Genomic DNA, 18387 nt, shown 5'->3' with positions numbered 1-18387 from the left:
CTGGAGTGCAATGACGTGGCTCGGCTCACTGCAACTTCCACCTCCCGGGTTCGAGCGATTCTCCTGCCTCAGCCTCCCAAGTAGCTGAGATTATAGGCGCCCATCACCACACCCCGCTAACTTTTGTATTTTTTTAGTAGAGACGAGGTTTCGCCATGTTGGCCAGGCTGGTCTCGAACTCCTGACCTCAGGTGATCCACCCACCTCAGCCTCCCAAAGTGCTGGGATTATAGGTGTGAGCCACTGCGCCTGGCCCAAGGAAGGTCATTTGATTAGGACGGGGCAGCTGCATCCATTTTGAGCCCAGTCCAAGAGGTGCCTGGGAGCCTCTTTGGCTCTATGTGGGCCAGCATCCCATTTGTACAGGGTGTGATGGGGAGAGAAACTTGAGAACTTGAAGAGGGTGGCTGAAGGCTCTTCATGGAGCTGATGACACTTTTCAGAACCCCAGAAGCACCAGGCTGAAACTGCCTTGTCCTTCTAACTCTTCACATCCTAAACATGAAGGCCAGTTCTTCTGGGCTAAGATACTCCAGGCAATGTGGCTTTTCTCCAAGTTGGATAGGGAGATAGGAAAAAGTCACCTGAACCAGGAATTCTTGCCATCACTTCTCTTCTCACTCAATTCGATGGACCCTGAAACCTTTCCCTCGCCCAAAAAAACAAGTTTTGCTCAAGCCCAGTCATACTCAACAAGCTCCCTCAACAAGACCTGAGAAATGAAGCCACCGCCCACCCTGCCCCCACCCTGCCCCCTCCTCTGCTTCCCACAAGCAGTGAGAGCCCTGGTGTCTCACCAGATCCAGCTCGAAACGAATGAACTCTAGCCCGGACACCAAGGTCAGGAAGAGCGTCAGGTGATCGTGGCTGCAGACCAGGGCATTCCTGCAAGACATGAGAAGCCACGATGGTGCCTCTGGGTCTGTTTACCAGCCTGGCCTAACCTTACCAACATACCAGCTGTGTTGAAATCTGACACGTGATGTCCTCCACCTTGGACGGCACCCAGCTTGATATAGCTGTTGCCCACCACCCTCTCAGCGATCTCCTACTGGGTTAGCAGCCACACTGCACTGTCCTGCCAGTGTCTTCAGAGATGGACGAGCACAAGGCTTGTCAGGCTCTCAGCAGCTGCTGTACACACTCTGTTCCTGCAGCAACCCCAGCAAAGGCTGAGCCAAAGCATGGGCACTGGTCAGGTCTGAAGCCTGGGAGGAGGACCAGGGAGCAGCAGAGACCCAGACTGTACCCAGGAGCCCAGATGGGACACCGGTGCTCCTGGTGAAGGCTACCCAGCTACTGGCAAGGTTCTAATGGCTCTCTGGCATCACTGATGTGGCACACTGTGCTGTCTGCATGACAAGAGCCTTTGGGAGGTAGCTGAAAGGGAGCTCTGAGGCTAGGGGAGACAGACCGTCCCAGACACTCACTTGACGTAGTACTTATGCAGCAGGCCCAGGTTCTCCTGGAACAACCGCAGGTAGCTCTCCAAGGAGTTCTCGTTGAGGGCCAGGTACAGCCAGGCACGGCCTGCAAACAAAGGCAGGAGTAACCGGCAGGAAGGCCTCTCAGACTGCTGGCTTTTATTTGCCAAGCAAGCGCAGAAAGGAAAGAAAGAGCAGGTAATGGGACCAGGCACTTCAGTGGCCTTTGTGCTTGGTGGGGTACCATAACCCCTGAGTGCTTTATTTTCCTAGTCAGACCTCAGCATGTAGCTGGCCAGGAAATTCTGATAAAGAGGGCAGACTGCACACTTCAGACAGGTCAAGAAACGCCAGGACTCTGCACTGATCCTGTAGGCTAACAGTGATCCCAGCTCAGGGAGAGAAACCAGACTCCATAGCACGTGCTCAGGCTGGGATTCCATAAGAGTCCAGCTCTCGCTGGCAGCTCGCCCTCTTTCTCCCCATCACTGCTGTGCCAAAAAACCATCATATGTGGGGAGAAAAGAGGCCTCATGGAGGGGGCTGGCATTTTATAAATTTATTATTTATTACTATTATTTTATTTTTTGAGACAGAGACTCTGTCACCCAGGCTGGAGTATAGTGGTGTGATCACAGCTCAATACAGCCTTAAATTCCTGGGCTCAAGGGATCCTCCTGCCTTACCCTCCCAAAGTGTTGGAATTACAGGCATGAGCCACTGTGCCCGGCCATTTTCCTAAATCTTTAGAGATGGGGTCTCACTCTTTCTTCCAGGCTGGAGTGCAATGCTGTGGTCATGCCTCACTGCAGCCTCAAACTCCGGGGCTCAAGCCATCCTCCCACCTCAGCCCCTGAGTAGCTGGGACTATAGGTGTGTACCAAGACATCCATGTAATATTTAAATTTTTGTAGAGATGGGGTCTCACTGTGTTGCCCAGGCTGGTCTAAACTCCTGGCCTCAAGCCATCCTCCCTCCTCAGCCTCCCAAAATGCTGGGATTACAGGTGTGAGCCACCATGCCTGGCCTGGTGCTGGCATTTTAACACCCCACTGCTACTGGACACCACCAGGTAATTTGCCTCCCAGGGCTGACCCTGAGGGTAAACCTGGGACAGAGCCCCAAGCTACCCACCGAAGGTGGAGCTGGTCCCTTCCCCAGCGTCTCCTTGTGACTACTCACTGCGCCCCAGGTTGGTGGCCACGTGCTGCAGCACCTCGATCTGCTTGATGGCCTCTCTCCGAGTAAAATGCACCACGAGCACCCAGTAGCCAGAGGAGAGGTCTTGCAGTCTGAGAAAACAGGACAGGAGCTGCTGTGACCTGCATGGGGCCACCCTGGGAAGCTGCAGTCGGCTGGTCCAGCAGTGAGCGCAAGGCAGGAAGTGATGGATCCCCAGCAGGTCTCCCAGGCACCCAGCACACCTTCACACCATCATATCATTTGTGGCAAATCCTCCCTCCATCATTTATGTCTGCCCAGAGATGATTTACTGGGGTAACTACAGAGAGACTGTGGCCCACTTGAGTGGGACAAATCCCTTTCTGCCAAGGGGAGAGAAGAAAGAAAAGGCAGAGAGGCTAAGGGTTTCTCTGTGGAGGCTACTCATGGCCTGGGTTGTGCTCCGTCATCTTTGGAAACTTCCTCCACCTTACCCGTACAGCAGGGCGTGGTCCAGGTGCTCACACAGACGCTGTAGGACCTTGTCATGGTTCCGGATGGCAGGGATCTCATCCTCACATGCAGCAAAATAGCTCTGCAACTGAAAGAAAAAAAAACACCTCCAAATCAGAAATGGATTAAGAGGAAGGCTACAAAAGTTCTGGAATCAAGAAGGTAGCTAAAAAAAATTAGTCAAATGGTGTATCCACAATGACCAGCAGAGACGTCTACCTCAAACCACCCCTGTCCCAGCTGCTGCTCTGGCACTGGAGGTTCCAGCAGGCAACAGCTGTATCTTTACAGCCCAGTCCCCCAGAGGCACCCAGTCAGCAGTCCGCACAGTGACAACTTGAGGCTGGAGGGATCCACTGTCCATGCATAGGTCTCAAGTGGTGGCAAGCTTCAGGCCAGGGCCACAGCATGGCACAACTTCAGGGGCACTATGTACAGTGCTGTCTAGACCAATGCCACACAAACCCAGAGTTGGGGCATTGATACAGAGAGCGCTAGACGTATTTTCCTCCCATTGTCAACAGACCTTTAAACTTTGCTTATGTTATTGTTTTGCCCTATTGAGAAAGTTTTAATTTTTAGGCAGTCAAATCTGTCCATCTTTTCCTTTATAGTTTCCCATTTTTCCCAGTCATATATTAGAAAAGTATCTTTTTTCTTTTCTTTTTGGTTGTTTGTTTTATTGAGACAAAGTCTTGTTCTGTCGCCCAGGCTGGAGGGCAGTGGCATGATCTCGGCTCACTGCAGCCTCCGCCTCCTGGGTTCAAGTGATTCTCCTGCCTCAGCCTCCCGAGTAGCTGGGATTACAGGTGCCCACCACCATGCCCAGCTAATTTTTTATCTTTAGTAGAGACGAGGTTTCGCCATGTTGGCCAGGCTGGTCTCAAGCTCCTGACCTCAGGTGATCCACCCACTTTGGCCTCCCAAAGTGCTGCGATTACAGGCGTGAGCCACTGTGCCCGGCCTGTTTGTTTTGAGACAGGGTCTCACTCTGTCATGCAGGCTGGAGTGCAGTGGTGTGATCACGGCTCGCTGCAGCCTCAATCTCCTGAATTCAAACAATCCTCCTTCATATCACAGTGGCCCCACTTGGAGCTACCCTCTGCATATACTAAGGGCCGATGGACTGGGGCACCTGCCCCACCAGCCTTCTTGCCAGCCTTCTTGACATGGAATACTAGAATTGCCTGCAATGCTGGATATGGATCTAGGTGCATGCAAGGCTCACGTTAAGCCCTACACCAAGAAGGACACCACTGTTCCTGGACTGGGCTGATAAAAGGAGATTTGGACAGTAGGTGAGATGAACTGCAGCACTGTGCAAACCCCACCAGGCTGGTGAGGGCAAGGGCAGCTCCATCAGCCTACTGAAGGACAAGAAAGCCCAGATATTGGACTGAGTTCACTGCAACCGCAGTTACAGAGAGAGGGCCCCTTTCAAGCACAGCTCTAGGAGAAAAGTCTCTCCAAGTTCATGTTAGCCATATCCTGTTCTGCTACTGCCCTTCCAATGGCCAGAAGGGAGTGGAACACAAGACAAGAGCACAGATGCCTGATCCTGATCTCAGGTTTAACCTCTTGGGACAAACGTATTCTCAAGTGTTTTCTGGAAGCAGTGGTAGAGATGGCCACAGCAGGCAAGATACATCAACCACACCAACAAGCATGTGCTCCTGGAGAGAGACCAACAATTCAGCTCCCACAACAAAAATAGCCTCTCTTCTCTGCAGCCCGGAACAAGCCTGGCAGGCCTGTCAGCCAGGACAAACCTCAGTCCTGCAGGGTCTTCCCTTCCCTTCCTCCCAGAGGCAGGCAAATCAGAGCACCAGAAGGAAAGATTTCTAGAGCTGAAAGAAAGAGGAATAAGCCTGCAAAAACTGCATAATCCCTCTCAGCAACAGCTGGAAACATTACTGCACACTTCAGTATTAAGTACGACCACACTGGGGTAGAGCTTTTTTTTTTTTTTTTTTTTTAATTTCAAAATCTGAGTAAATCTGAGATCAGAGAGCCTATAGACAGATGTTACAGCTGGAAGCATCCTTAGAGATCTAGTGCAATGTTCTAATTAAAAAACCAAAACAGGGCCGGGTGTGGTGGCTCACACCTGTAATCCCAGCACTTCGGGAAGCCAAGGCGGGTGGATCACGAGGTCAGGAGTTCAAGACCAGCCTGGCCAAGATGGTGAAACCTCGTTCTCTACTAAAATACAACAACTAGCTGGGTGCGGTGACAGGCACCTGTAATCCCAGCTACTCAGGAGGCTGAGGAAGGAGAATTGCTTGAACTCAGGAAGCAGAGGTTGCAGTGAGCTGAGATTGTGCCACTGCACTCCAGCCTGGGCAGCAGAGTGAGACTCTGTCTCCAAAAAAAAAAAAAAAAACAGGGCTGGGCTGCAGTGGCTCACGCCTGTAATCCCACCGCTTTGGGAGGCCGAGGTGGGCGGATCACGAGGTCAGGAGATCAAGACCATCCTGGCTAACATAGTGAAACCCCGTCTCTACTAAGCAAAATGCAAAAAATTAGCCGGGCGTAGTGGCAGGCGCCTGTAGTCCCAGCTATTCGGGAGGCTGAGGCAGGAGAATGGCAGGAACCCGGGAGGCGGAGCTTGCAGTGAGCTGAGATCACGCCACTGCACTCCAGCCTGGGCAACAGAGCAAGACTCCTTCTCAAAAACAAAAAACAAAAAACAAACAAACAAACAAAAAACAGAATATTATTCATTCTCTTGAATTATAATTCCCACATGGAAAAGAATGTGTATATTTGTGTATTTACAGAGACGAGGTTAAGTCCCTCAATATGGTTTTTAGTTAAGTGACAGGACCCAGGGCTGGAACTCAGACTCTTTTCTCAGCTAAGATACCTTTAAAGAAAAATTATTCTGAAAACATTTGTTCATTGTAAAAATGGAAGCAACACAGAGGTGTGTATAAAGAATAAAGGCCCCCTTGCTCCCATTTACTATTGCCAACAGCTTGGTGTGCACGTATCCCCCCAACTCTTTTCCTGTATACACAGACCTAAGAAAAAAAGAAAAAAAAGAAAGAAAGAAATAAGAAAAAAAGGAATGCCACGAGTGGTGGCTCATGCCTGTAATCTCAACACTTTGGGAGGCCCGAGGCAGGAGGATCGTTTGAGGCCAGGAGTTTGAGACCAGCCTCAGCCACATAGCAAAACGCTGTGTCTACAAAAACAAACAAACAAACAAAAAATTAAAAATTAGCCAGGCGTGGTGGCTCACACCTATAATCCCAGCACTTTGGGAGGCCAAGGCAGGCAAATCAGTTGAGGTCAGGAGTTTCAGACCAGCCTGGCTAACATGGTGAAACCCCGTCTCTACTAAAAATACAAAAATTAGCTGGGTGTGGTGGCACATTCCTGTAATCCCAGCTACTTGGGAGGCTGAGGCAGGAGAATCGCTTGACCCTAGGAGGTGGAGGTTGCAGTGAGCCAAGATTGCACCACTGCACTCCAGCAGGGGCGAAAAATAAAAATAAAAATAAGCTAGCTAGGCATGGTGGCATGCACCTATAGTCTCACCTACTTGGGAGGCTGAGGCAGGGTCAGGGGGAGGTATCCCTTGAGCCCAGGAGTTCAAGGTTGCAGTGAGCTGTAATGGCACCACTGCACTCCAGCCTGGAGCAAGAACTTGTCTCAAAAAAAAAAAAAAAAAGGAAAATAAGATCATGCTATATTCATTCTGAAACTTGTTTTGCCTTTAAGGTATATCCATGTATATTTCCATATCATTATGATGTACCATACTTCAACCATTGTTAAATATGGATATCATATCCAGTTCCTGGACATAGCACATAATATTGCAGTGACCATTGTGCAGTCCTGTGTGGATGCTTCTGTATGGTGAGTGCCTGCAAGGGGAACTGCTGAGCCAACAGACAAACACATTCACAATCTGCCTGGGTCCTGCCACCTGGCCGTCTAGAATGTCTGACTGATTTACACTCCGACCATGCTGGCCAACACTGCATATAATTAGTCTAATTTTTTCCAGTCCATTTGGTGAAAAATAGTACCTGTTTTAAATTGTACTTCTCTGATTAAAAGCGCAGTGGAACATCCATATTAGCCACGTGTTTCTCTTCTTCTAGGAACTAAGTATTCACAGCCTTTGCCCAATCTTCCACTGGCTGCTTGTGTTTTTGTTATTTGTTGCAGCTCTTTTTTTTTTTTTTTTTTTTTGAGACTGAATCTTGCTCTTGTTGCCCAGGCTAGAGTGCAGTGGCGTGATCTCGGCTCACTGCAACCTCTGCCTCCCAGGTTTAAGCGATTCTCCTGCCTCAGCCTCCTGAGTAGCTGGGATTACAGGCACGCGCCACCGTGCCCGGCTAATTTTGTACTTTTAGTAGAGATGGGGTTTCTCCATGTTGGTCAGGCTGGTCTTGAACTCCCAACCTCAGATGATCCACCCGCCTCAGCCTCCCAAAGTGCTGGGATTACAGGCGTGAGCCACCGCGCCCAGCCATGTTACAGCTCTTTAAGGATTTAACCTAATGTGTTGTTATATATTATTTTCCCCCCCGTTATCAATTGACCTTTAAACTTCACTTGTCATTTTTTTGCCCTATTGAGAAATTTTTAATTTTGATGCAGTCAAATCTACCAGTCTTTTCCTTTATAGTTTCCCATTTTTCCCAATGTAAGATTACAGAAGTGCCTTTTTTCTTTTTTCTTTTTTTTTTTTGAGATGGAGCCTCGCTCTGTTGCCCAGGCTGGAGTGCACTGGCACAGTCTCGGCTCACTGTAGCCTGTGTCTCCCAGGTTCAGGTGATTCTCCTGCGTCAGCCTCCCAAGTAGCTGGGATCACAGGCACCTTCGACCACACCTGGCTAATTTTTGTATTTTTTAGTAGAGATGGGGCTTTGCCATGTTGGCCAGGCTGGTCTCGAACTCCTGAGCTCAAGAGATCTGCCCACCTCAGCCTCCCAAAGTGTGGGGATTACAGGCATGAGCCACCACGGTTGGCCACAAAAGTGCCTTTTTTCTTTTATAGTTTTAGGACAATTTGATTTTGGTTTTTAGGTTTAGATCTTTTTTGTTTTTTCACTGCTGGTTTTTGGTCCCCTTATGTTTTTATTTATTTTATTTTATTTTTATTTTTGATAGAGACAGGGTCTCCCTATGTTGCCCAGGCTGCTCTCGAACTCCTGGGCTCAAGGGATCCTCCTGCCTTGGCCTCCCAAAATGCTAGGATTACAGGGGTGAGCCGTCATGCCCGGCCAGGTTCCCTTATGTTTAGATCTTTATATATGTCATGAGGTAAGGATCCAGCTTTATATATGGCATGAGGTAAGGATCCAGTTTCACCGTGTTGGCCAGGCTGGTCTCAAACTCCAGACCTCAGGTGATCTGCTTGCCTTGGCCTCCCAAAGTGTTGGGATTACAGGCATGAGCCACGGCACCCAGCCCTCGTATTTATTAATGTTAATTAATGGTCCAGCTCTTCCTAATCCTCTCACCTCAGCCTGCTGGGTAGCTGGAACTACAAATGCATGCCACTATGCCTGGCTGATCTGTGATGTAATATGCCCCTTTTAAAACTACTTCTTGTTGGCCTATTATATATTCCTGTGCTGGTCCTCCATTTAAAATTTTCACTTTATTCAGCATTTTGGTATGGGCAGAACAAGTCCACCCCAGCCCCCTCAACATTCTTTTTCAAAATTGTTTTGGTAGCTGGGTGCAGTGGCTTACGCCTGTAATCCCAGCACCTTGGGAGGCCAAAGCAGGCGGATCACCTGAGGTCAGGAGTTTGAGACCAGCCTGGCCAACATGGTAAAACTCTGTCTGTACTAAAAAAAATACAAAAATTAGCCGGGCCCCACCATGCCTGTAATCCCAGCTACTCGGGAGGCTGAGGCAGGAGAATTGCTTGAACTCGGGAGTTGGAGGTTGCAGTGAGCCGAGATCATGCCACTGCACTCCAACCTGGGCAGCCGAGTGAGACTCCGTTTCAAATAACAACAATAACAACAACAACAAAACTGTTTTGGCTGTTCTAGTACATTATTTTAATCAAATTTCACTACAATTTTCTTCTGGATTTGTACCAGAATTTTTTTTTTTTTTTTTTGGAGATGGAGTCTCGCTCTGTCGCCCAGGCTGGAGGGCAGTGGCGCGATCTCGGCTCACTGCAAGCTCCGCCTCCCAGGTTTACGCCATTCTCCTGCCTCAGCCTCCCGAGTAGCTGGGACTACAGGCGCCCGCCACCATGCCCAGCTAATTTTTTGTATTTTTTTTAGTGGAGATGGGGTTTCACCACGTTAGCCAGGATGGTCTCGATATCCTGACCTCGTGATCTGCCCATCTCGGCCTCCAAAGTGCTAGGATTACAGGCATGAGCCACCGCGCCCGGCTTGTACTAGAATTATACTGAATCCAGAGATCATTTGGAGGAGGAAATAATATTGCAATATTGAGTCTTCCTATCCAGGAACATGGAGTCTTTTCCCCATTTATTCAGGTCTTCTGTTATATCCTTTGGTAATTTTTATAGCTTTCTTTAGGTATGTCCTGCACATTTATTTCAAGGTGGCTTGCATATCTACACATGGTATTATGAGTTAGGAAGCAATCTGTGCCTTGAAACAATTTCTGCAAAAAGTACAGTACAAAGAGTGTATATGCCACGGTGGTGGAGAGAGAAGGCTCCGTAGGCAGGAAACCCGGGTCCAAAGTGTGGCTCTGCGACTACAGAGGTGGGCACCTTTGGCAAATTACTTAACTCTCTAACCCTCATTTTTTCTCATCTGCAAAATGGGTTATAAAACGACTATTTAGACCTGAGCTGTCCAATACAGTAGTCACTAGCCACATGTGGCTATTTAAAGACTTTGGGAGCTGGGTAGCAAAGCACATAAAGGTAAATAAACAGCAGTGGCACTCTCTTAGCTGTAATGAGGCTGCAGCTGGTAACCACCTCCCTCCCGCTCCAGTATCAGAAGGCTCTGAAAGAACAGGAGTGGAAGGAAAGCAAACATCGAAGAAATGAGGACCCCAGAACAGAATTAATGGGGTGAGTATAACAAATATAACCCAGCCTGGAAGCACAATCCTCATCTTTTATGCCAAATTACTCTTTGGTTGCACTCAATACCTGCTGGTAGAGCTAATACCCACTACAATTAGGGCCATGATTTATTGAGTGCACACTCTGTGCATCAGGACGGTGGCAGAGCTGTTAAGAGTGTGGATTCTGGAGTCGGACAACTTGGTTTGAATGCTGACTCTGCTACTCATTCACTGTGTGACCTTGGGCAAGTTACCTAACCTCTCGAAACTCGTTTTCCTTGTCTGTAAAATGGGCTTAGTAATAGGACCCTCCCTATAGGTTGCCATGAGGGTTCATAATGCTTATACTATGTTTACCAAGTACATGATACATCGTAAACACTTAACAAATGTTAGCAGCTATGATGACGATGACACACTTTTCAAACGTAATTTAATCACCACCGCAGCCCCGTAAGTAGGTCACAGAGCTAGTAAGGGGCAGAGACAGATTTTAAACCCAGGTCTTTTCATCAAACCTGGGTTGGAGGTCCCAGAACGAATAATGTATGTAAAATGTTAGACTCTAGCCAGGCATGGTGGCTCACAAGTATAATTCCAGCTCTTTGGGAGGCCAGTGAAGGAGGATCATTAGAGGCCAGGAGTTTGAGACCAGCCTGGGCAATATAGCAAGACCCCATCTCTATTTTAAAAAACTTTTTTGTAAAGTTAGACTCTATTTAAATCCCCTCCTAATACGTTTTAGGGGAATCCAAGAAAGAAAAATGCCGTTCCGGACCGGGCACAGTGGCTCACGCCTGTAATCCCAGCACTTTGGGAGGCCGAGGCAGGTGGATCACAAGGTCAAGAGATCGAGACCATTCTGGCCAACATGGTGAAACCCCATCTCTACTAAAAATACAAAAATTAGCCGGGCGTGGTGGTGTGCACCTGTAGCCCCAGCTACTCGGGAGGCTGAGGCAGAAGAACTGCTTGAACCAGGGAGGTGGAGGTTGCAATGAGCTGAGATCGTGCCACTGCACTCCAGCCTGGCGACAGAGCGAGACTCCATAAAAAAAAAGAAAAAAGAAAAATGCAGTTCCCTCTCTTTTAAATCATGAGAACTGGCCAGGTGCAGTGGCTCACGCTGGTAATCCCAGCACTTTGGGAGGCCGAGGCAGGTGGATCACTTGAGGTCAGGAGTTCAAGACCAGCCTGGCCAACACAGTGAAACCCCATCTCTACTAAAAATACAAAAATTAGCTGGGAATAGTGGTGGGTGCCTGTAATCTCAGCTACTCGGGAGGCTGAGGCAGGAGAATCACTTGAACCCAGGGGGTGGAGGTCACAGTGACCTGAGATCACGTCACTGCACTCCAGCCTAGGCGACAAGAGCGAGACTCCATCTCAAAAAAATATAAACTATGAGAACTAAAACCCCATGGTAGACATGAGCTCAGAGTCTTCTCCAGTTCTGCTTCTTGGAAGACAGACCAAGGAGAGCAGCCAGGGTGGCTTCTCTACCAACAGCCCTTGCTGGTACAGTCTCTGTCCTTTGGCCCCACACTGGCATCTCCCGAGTGAGGATGTGTCTTGTCAGTTTTAAAAAAAGCTGCAGCTGCTCCAGGAGGGGCTTTCCCCACTTCTGGGAAGAAGTTCATTCTGCTGATCAGACTGCCAAGTGGTTCTGAGTGTTTCCTTTCTGTTCATGTGGATTTTGGGGAAAGGCAGAAAATCTCAGAATTCGTGGGAGTCTAGGGCAGGGTGGCTAGGGGACCACCTCCAAGTTTTGTGTGTAAAGTTTTATTGGAACACAGCCACTCCCATCGGCTCACGTGTCACCTGTGGCTGCTTTTGTGCTATGACGGCAAGTGGAGCAGTGTTTTTAGAAACAGGTCTCACTTTGTTGCCCAGGCTAGAGTGCAGTAATGCTCACTGCAGCCTCAACCTACCGGGCTCAGGTGATCCTCCCAGCTCAGCCTCCCAAATAGCTGAGACTACAGGTATGTACCACCACACCTGGCTAATTTTTTTTTTTTTTGTATTTTTTTTGTAGAGATGGAGTTTTGCTATGTTGTCTAGGCTGGTCTTAAACTCCTGAGCTCAAGTGATCCTCCTGCCTTAGCCTCTCAAATTCTAGGGATTACAGGTATAAGCCATGGTGCCCAGCCCAAAGCCTACACTTTAAGCACTCTTTTTTTTTTTTGAGACGGAGTTTGTCTCAGAGACCGCATGGCCTGTACAGCCTGAACTATTTAGCACCTGGCTCTTTACAGAAGAAGCATGCTGGCCCTCGGTCTGGAGCCTGCAGCAGAGGTGGCAAGGAATGCACACTTGTGATAGGCTCGGCTGAGGAGCTGCCTCTTGCTCAAAGCTCAGTTCAGCAGTGGCCAGAAGGGAAGGCTCAAGCCGTGAAGGGTCACATATTTCAACACACAGTTACTGAGCACCTGCTATGTACATATCAGACACGGTGGCAGAGATAAATTAGTGCAAATGTATAATACGGCATCAGGGAGTAGTAAGTGCTATGAAAAAAATGAAGCAGGGTGTGGAAATCTGTTATAAATACGGAGCCCCCAGAGGGAAAAAAATAAATACAAAAGCCGGGCACAGTGGCTCACGCCTGTAATGCCAGCACTTTGGGAGGCTGAGGCAGGTGGATCACCTGAGGTTAGGAGTTCGAGACCAGCCTGACCAACGTGGTGAAACCCCGTCTCTATTTAAAATACAAAAAATTAGCCAGGCATGGTGGCGCACACCTGTAATCCCAGCTACTCGGGAGGCTGAGGCAGGAGAATCATTTGAACCTGGGAGGCAGAGGTTGCAGTGAGCCGAGATCGTGCCACTGCACTCCAGCCTGGGCAACAAGAGCAAAACTCCAACTCAAAAAATAATAATAAAAACAAACAAACAAATAAGGAGCCAAGAAGATCTCCCTGAGGAAATGGCTATTGTGGCATCCGGGGGGAAAGTATTCCGGTTAGAGGAACAGCAGGGGCAACAGTGAGGAGCCTGGTGTGGCTGGAGCTCAGGGAGTGAGGGGTGAGCAGCATGAGATGAGGTCAAGAAGGCAGCTGAGGGCCGGATCATGCACAGCCACACAGGCCGTGCGAGGGGCTTTGCGTTTCATTACCAGTTTGATGGGAAGCTGTTGGCAGGTGAGAACAGGAAAGTACATAACTCGATGTCACTATTACAAAGCTGCTATAGCTTCTTGCTTGTTTTTTGAGACAGGGTCTTGCTCTGTCACCCAGGCTGGAGTGCAATGGCGCGATCTTGGCTCACTGCAGCCTCTGCCTCAATCGATCCTCCCACTTCAACCTCCCGAGTAGCTGGGACTGCAGGTGTGCGACACCACAGCAGGCTAGTTTTTCTGTTTTGTAGAGATGGGGTCTCATCATGTTGCCCAGATTGGTCTTGAACTCCTGGGTCAAGCAATCCACCCACCTCGGCCTCCCAAAGTGCTGGGATTACAGGCGTGAGCCACCAGATCCGGCCTTGCCATAGTTTCTGTATGGTGAGTAGACAGACTGTGAAAGGCCAGGGTGGAGGCAGAGGCTGGTTAGGAGGCTAGCAGCCCCGACAATGGGAAAATGGGGGCTGGGAGCTGGCTACAGTGTAGAGGACAGGAGAAGGGGTCAGATGCAGGGTCTGAAGGCAGAGCCGCAGAGATTTAGCGATGGATTAAATGTGGGGCATGAGGGAAAAGGAGGAGCCAGCAACAGTTCTGAGGTATGGTCTGAGCAGGTGGACGGCAGCCGTTTCTGGATCAGGTGGAGTTCAGCTCTGGCATAAGTTCAGAACACCTATCCGACATCTATGTGGAGGCCGGGCACAGTGGCTCACGCCTATAATCCCAGCGCTTTGGGAGGCCGAGGTGAGTGGATCGTCTGAGCTCAGGAGTTGGAGACAAGCCTGGGCAACATGGCAAAACCCTACCTCAGCAAAAATACAAAAAATTAGTCGGACATGATGGCACGATACACTTGTAGTCCCAGCTACTCAGGAGGCTGAAGTAGGAGAATCGCTTGAGTCTGGGAGGTAGAGGTTGCAGTGAGCCAAGATTGCACCACTGCACTCCAACTAGGTGATAGAGTGAGACCCCATCTCAAAAAAAAAAAAAAAAAAAAAAAAAAAGATATCTACGTGGAGACATCAAGGACACAGCTGTGGAAATGGATCTGAGGTTCAGGGGCAGGGGGGGTGCCGCCAGCCACTGAAAGCCGTGAGTGTGCAGCAGGAGGAGCGTCTGAGTACTGAGCCGCCAGGGCTGCGTTAGACCAGGGGTCCTCACCCACGCAGCCCAACAATGCCCGGGCCCCTTTCCAGACCAATGACATCAGAAACTCTGGAGTCAGGGCACAAGAAGCAGCACTGTAACACTCCAGGTAATCCTGATGCCTGGCCCGGGCTGAGGATCACTGTCTTAGACCACGAAGGCACAGCCAGCGAGGTGGGCAGAAAACGTGGGCAGTATGTGCTCCAGAAGCCCAGTGAGGAAAGTTTCCCAAGGGCAGGTGTGGTCAGTCGCCAGGGTCATGGCAGCAGGGGCCTAAAAGGGAGGTGCTGGGACCATGAGGAAAGCACATGGGCGCAGGGGCGGGGGCAGCAGCCTGATGGGCACTCATCACGGAGGGCAGGAGCTTGTGTGGATCCCGCATCAGCAAATGAGGCATTTAAACATGACAGTGATGAGGCAGCTGGAACTTGAAACAGCAAATATTTGATGATATTGAGGAAAAGTTATTGTGAATTTTTTGTAATATTGGGTCATGTGAGAAAAGAATCCTCATTTTTTAACAATACGTACTGAAATATTTATGGATGTCTGGAAATCTGTTTCAAAATAATAGAGGGCTGGTGGTATAGACTGTCCGGTGATGATACGAGCTGAACATGGGGCTTCGGTATGCCATTCTGCCTATTTTGGGTCAGAAGAGGGGGTGAGGGAAGTGGAAGAACAGAGAGGAAGAGGAAGAAAGGAAGGGAGGAAGGGAGGGAGGGAGGGACGGAGGGAGTGGAGGAAGAGACAGTAAATACAGAAAATCCCTTTGACCGGTTTTGCCAAAAGAGTGGCAGGAAAAACAGGGTAGAGTAAAGAAATAAAGTCCTTGCCCAGGAAAGACAGGATGGGACCCCTCTGGCCACAAAGGAGAGTCCACAAGCAGGTGGGCCAGTATGCTCCATGGTGGGAGGATGAAAAAGTTGTCATCAGAAGAAAATTCAAAAGTAAGCAAGGTCAGCTGAGAATGAAGAGAGAGATTCAGATTTAAGGTAAATTTTTAAACATGGTGGTTCCCTAAGGTCCACGGACTCTGAGGCCTCTGTCTCAAAGGCATGTTCCCAGACCACGCTCTAGACCTGCTCAGCTGCTCTCCTGTCCCTGCTGCTGATTTTTCGGTTGTGCTCAGGCACCAGGGCCGGGAAAAGCTAGCTCAGCTCATCCCAGACTCTCCCAAAGCCAGGAGCACAGGGCTCCCAGGCGCTCTGGGAAGGCTGGGCGTCACAAGACTGCTTCGGGGAAGTGTGGGTGGTACACTCCAACAAGCCAAGAAATGCCTGACTCAGAGAATTTTAATCAGGGTGAGTCCCACTCTCTGCTCTGAGCTGCCACAGCCCGGCCTTCTCTGTCCCGTCTCTCTCTGATCTTCATACACCCACAAAACAATTTCTAGTACTATGGTTGATACGAAGAAATCCTTCCAGATTGGTCTCTAATAATTAACTCAAAGGTGGCTGTGAAAGACGATAAACAGCCAAATGAACATAAGACAGTTCCAAGTGACGTCCTTCCTTTCTCCCTCGTCAGACAAGGTCAAAAAGAGGCTGCAACCCTGCCCAGCCCAAAAGAGGGGCGATCTGGATTCTAACTCTGCTGTCAACTCGCAAGTTATACTAGGGGAGCAGGGGTCACACTTCCCTATTTACAGAGCAGGATAAAAACGCCTGCTCCAACAACAGGAGAGGCTGGACAGATGGCTGTAAGCGTGCCTGTTTAACTGCCTGGCCACTGTGGGGCTCCACCGCTGTGCCTGCCCCATCCCTGCTCAGCCACCGCAGACACAGACCTAAGGATACCTAAGAAACCTTGCCCGGCCCGGCCTGGCCTGGCAGGTTCGACTCTCCTGTGATGCCCAGGGAGAAGGCCGCCAGGTAACAGCAGCCTCCCTGTGGGCTCCATGGAGACCAAACGTTATTTACACAAGAGTGTTTGGAAGAGCCTCAGCAGGACAGGTCTAGGAGGTGGAAATCCAAAAACAGAATAGACCCCACCTGAGGGCTGGGCGCTGTGGCTCACGCCTGTAATTCCAGCACTTTGGGAGGCTGAGTCAGCGGGAGTATTGCTTGAAGCCAGAAGTTTGAGACCAGCTGGGCAATATAGCAAGACCCTGTTTCTAGCAACTTTTTTTTTTTTTAAAGTTAGCTGGGCGTGGTGGTGCATACCTATAGTCCCAGTTACTCGGAAGGCTAAGGCAGGAGGATTGCTTGAGCCCAGGAGCTGGAGGCTGCAATGTGCCATGATCACACCTCTGTACTCCAGCCTGGGCAACAGAGTGAGACCCTGCCTCGAAAAAAAAAAAAAAAAAAAAGGCTGGGCACGGTGGCTTATGCCTGTAATCCCAGCACTTTGGGAGGTCAAGGTGGAGAGATCACTTGAGGTCAGGAGTTCGAGACCAGCCTAACCAATATGATGAAACCCCATCTCTACTAAAAATACAAAAATTAGCTGGGCGTGGTGGTGCACATGCCTGTAATCCCAGCTACTTGGGAGGCTGAGGCAAAAGAATTGCTTGAACCTGGGAGGCGGAGGTTACAGTGAGCTGAGATTGTGCCACTGCACTCCAGTCTGGGCAACAGAGCAAGGCTACATCTCAAAAAAAGAAAAAAAAAACCCACCTGAAGAATGGGTGGATTACCACCCACCTCACCTCCAATCACCTCTTTAAGGATTACATCCACGATGGCCACAGCTAAATAAGCTCATCTCAACCTCCGAGCCAGACTGCACTGCAGGGGCCCTCTTGGTCCACTGAGTCCTGGAGGCTGCCCCTCACATGGCGATGCTGTAGGTACAAGGTGGGTGAGGACGCGTCCCATGGAAAGTGACATGCCACTGCCCACCTTGCGTCTGGGAATTCTACTCACAGCATGGTCACTGGTTGGGCAAACTGCCCCTCTGGTCTCACAGACATTCCTCCCTTACAAGGCAGATCCCCAGGGGAAAGGTGGAGCTCAAGCTACCTGCTGTCATTTACCTTTGGGCGACCCGTCCGTATCAGTGACAGCTGGAGAAGGGCCATGTGGTTGCAACTACTGAATGTCCCTTCAGGGAGGCCACCATAACGACTACCCCCCCGAGCTTGCATCAGCAGTTTGCTGCAGCTTCAGGCGCAGCCTCTTGTGAATGTAAGGGAAGGGCCAGTGCTCGACATCCATCCCCTCAGAAAGACACAGGGAGCAGAAAATAAACAAACAAGTGAGGCAGGCAGGCTGGGGTCTTTTTTCTTTTCTTTTTTGAGAGGGATTCTCGCTGTGTTCCCCAGGCTGGAGTGCAGTGGCGCAATCTCGGCTCACTGCAAGCTCCGCCTCCCGGGTTCACACCATTCTCCTGCCTCAGCCTCCCAAGCAGCTGGGACTACAGGCGCCCGCCACCACGTCCAGCTAATTTTTTTTGTATTTTTAGTAGAGACTGGGTTTCACCGTGTTAGCCAGGATGGTCACGATCTCCTGACCTCGTGATCCACCTGTCTTGGCCTCCCAAAGTGCTGGGATTACAGGCGTGAGCCACCGTGCCCGGCCAGCTGGGGTATTTTAAGTCTTAGCCAAGCTTCCTAAGACTAATAATACCTTTTTTTTTTCTTTTTTCTTTTTTTGAGATGGAGTTGTGCTCTTGTTGCCCAGGCTGGAATGCAATGGCACGATCTTGGCTCACTGCAACCTCCGCCTCCCAGGTTCAGCCGATTCTCCTGCCTCAGCCTCTCGAGTAGTTGGGATTACAGGCACCTGCCACCATGCCCAGCTAATTTTTTGTATTTTTAGTAGAGATGGGGTTTCACCATATTGGTCAGGCTGGTCTCAAACTCCTGACCTCAGGTGATCCACCTACCTCGGCCTCACCAAGTGCTGGGATTACAGGAGTGAGCCACCGCACCCAGCTAATAACATACCCCCACCCCCTTTTTTTTTTTTTTTTGAGACAGAGTTTCACTCTTGTTGCCCAGGCTGGATTGCAATGGCATGATCTCGGCTCACTGCAACCTCCGCCTCCTGG

The 18387-nt window shown here is 49.8% G+C and overlaps 1 protein-coding gene across 4 annotated transcripts in view; it reads right to left on the bottom strand.

The window, feature by feature from the left end:
• The window catches only part of PLEKHM2 (pleckstrin homology and RUN domain containing M2), a 53264-nt gene that overhangs the window by 15347 nt on the left and 19530 nt on the right, over positions 1 to 18387 (bottom strand). For all 4 annotated transcript variants that reach the window (XM_017000757.1, XM_017000758.1, NM_015164.4 and 1 more), the window contains exons 2-5: positions 3080 to 3186; positions 2607 to 2716; positions 1431 to 1530; positions 798 to 885 (exon numbers count right to left, since the gene is read on the bottom strand). In XM_017000757.1, coding sequence (XP_016856246.1) covers positions 798 to 885; positions 1431 to 1530; positions 2607 to 2716; positions 3080 to 3186 — 405 coding nt within the window. The remainder of the gene's footprint in view (positions 1 to 797; positions 886 to 1430; positions 1531 to 2606; positions 2717 to 3079; positions 3187 to 18387) is intronic.

The sequence above is a fragment of the Homo sapiens genome, chromosome 1, assembly GCF_000001405.40.
Source record: "Homo sapiens chromosome 1, GRCh38.p14 Primary Assembly".
NCBI lineage: Eukaryota > Metazoa > Chordata > Mammalia > Primates > Hominidae > Homo > Homo sapiens.
This window is presented reverse-complemented; position numbering and strand designations above follow the sequence as displayed.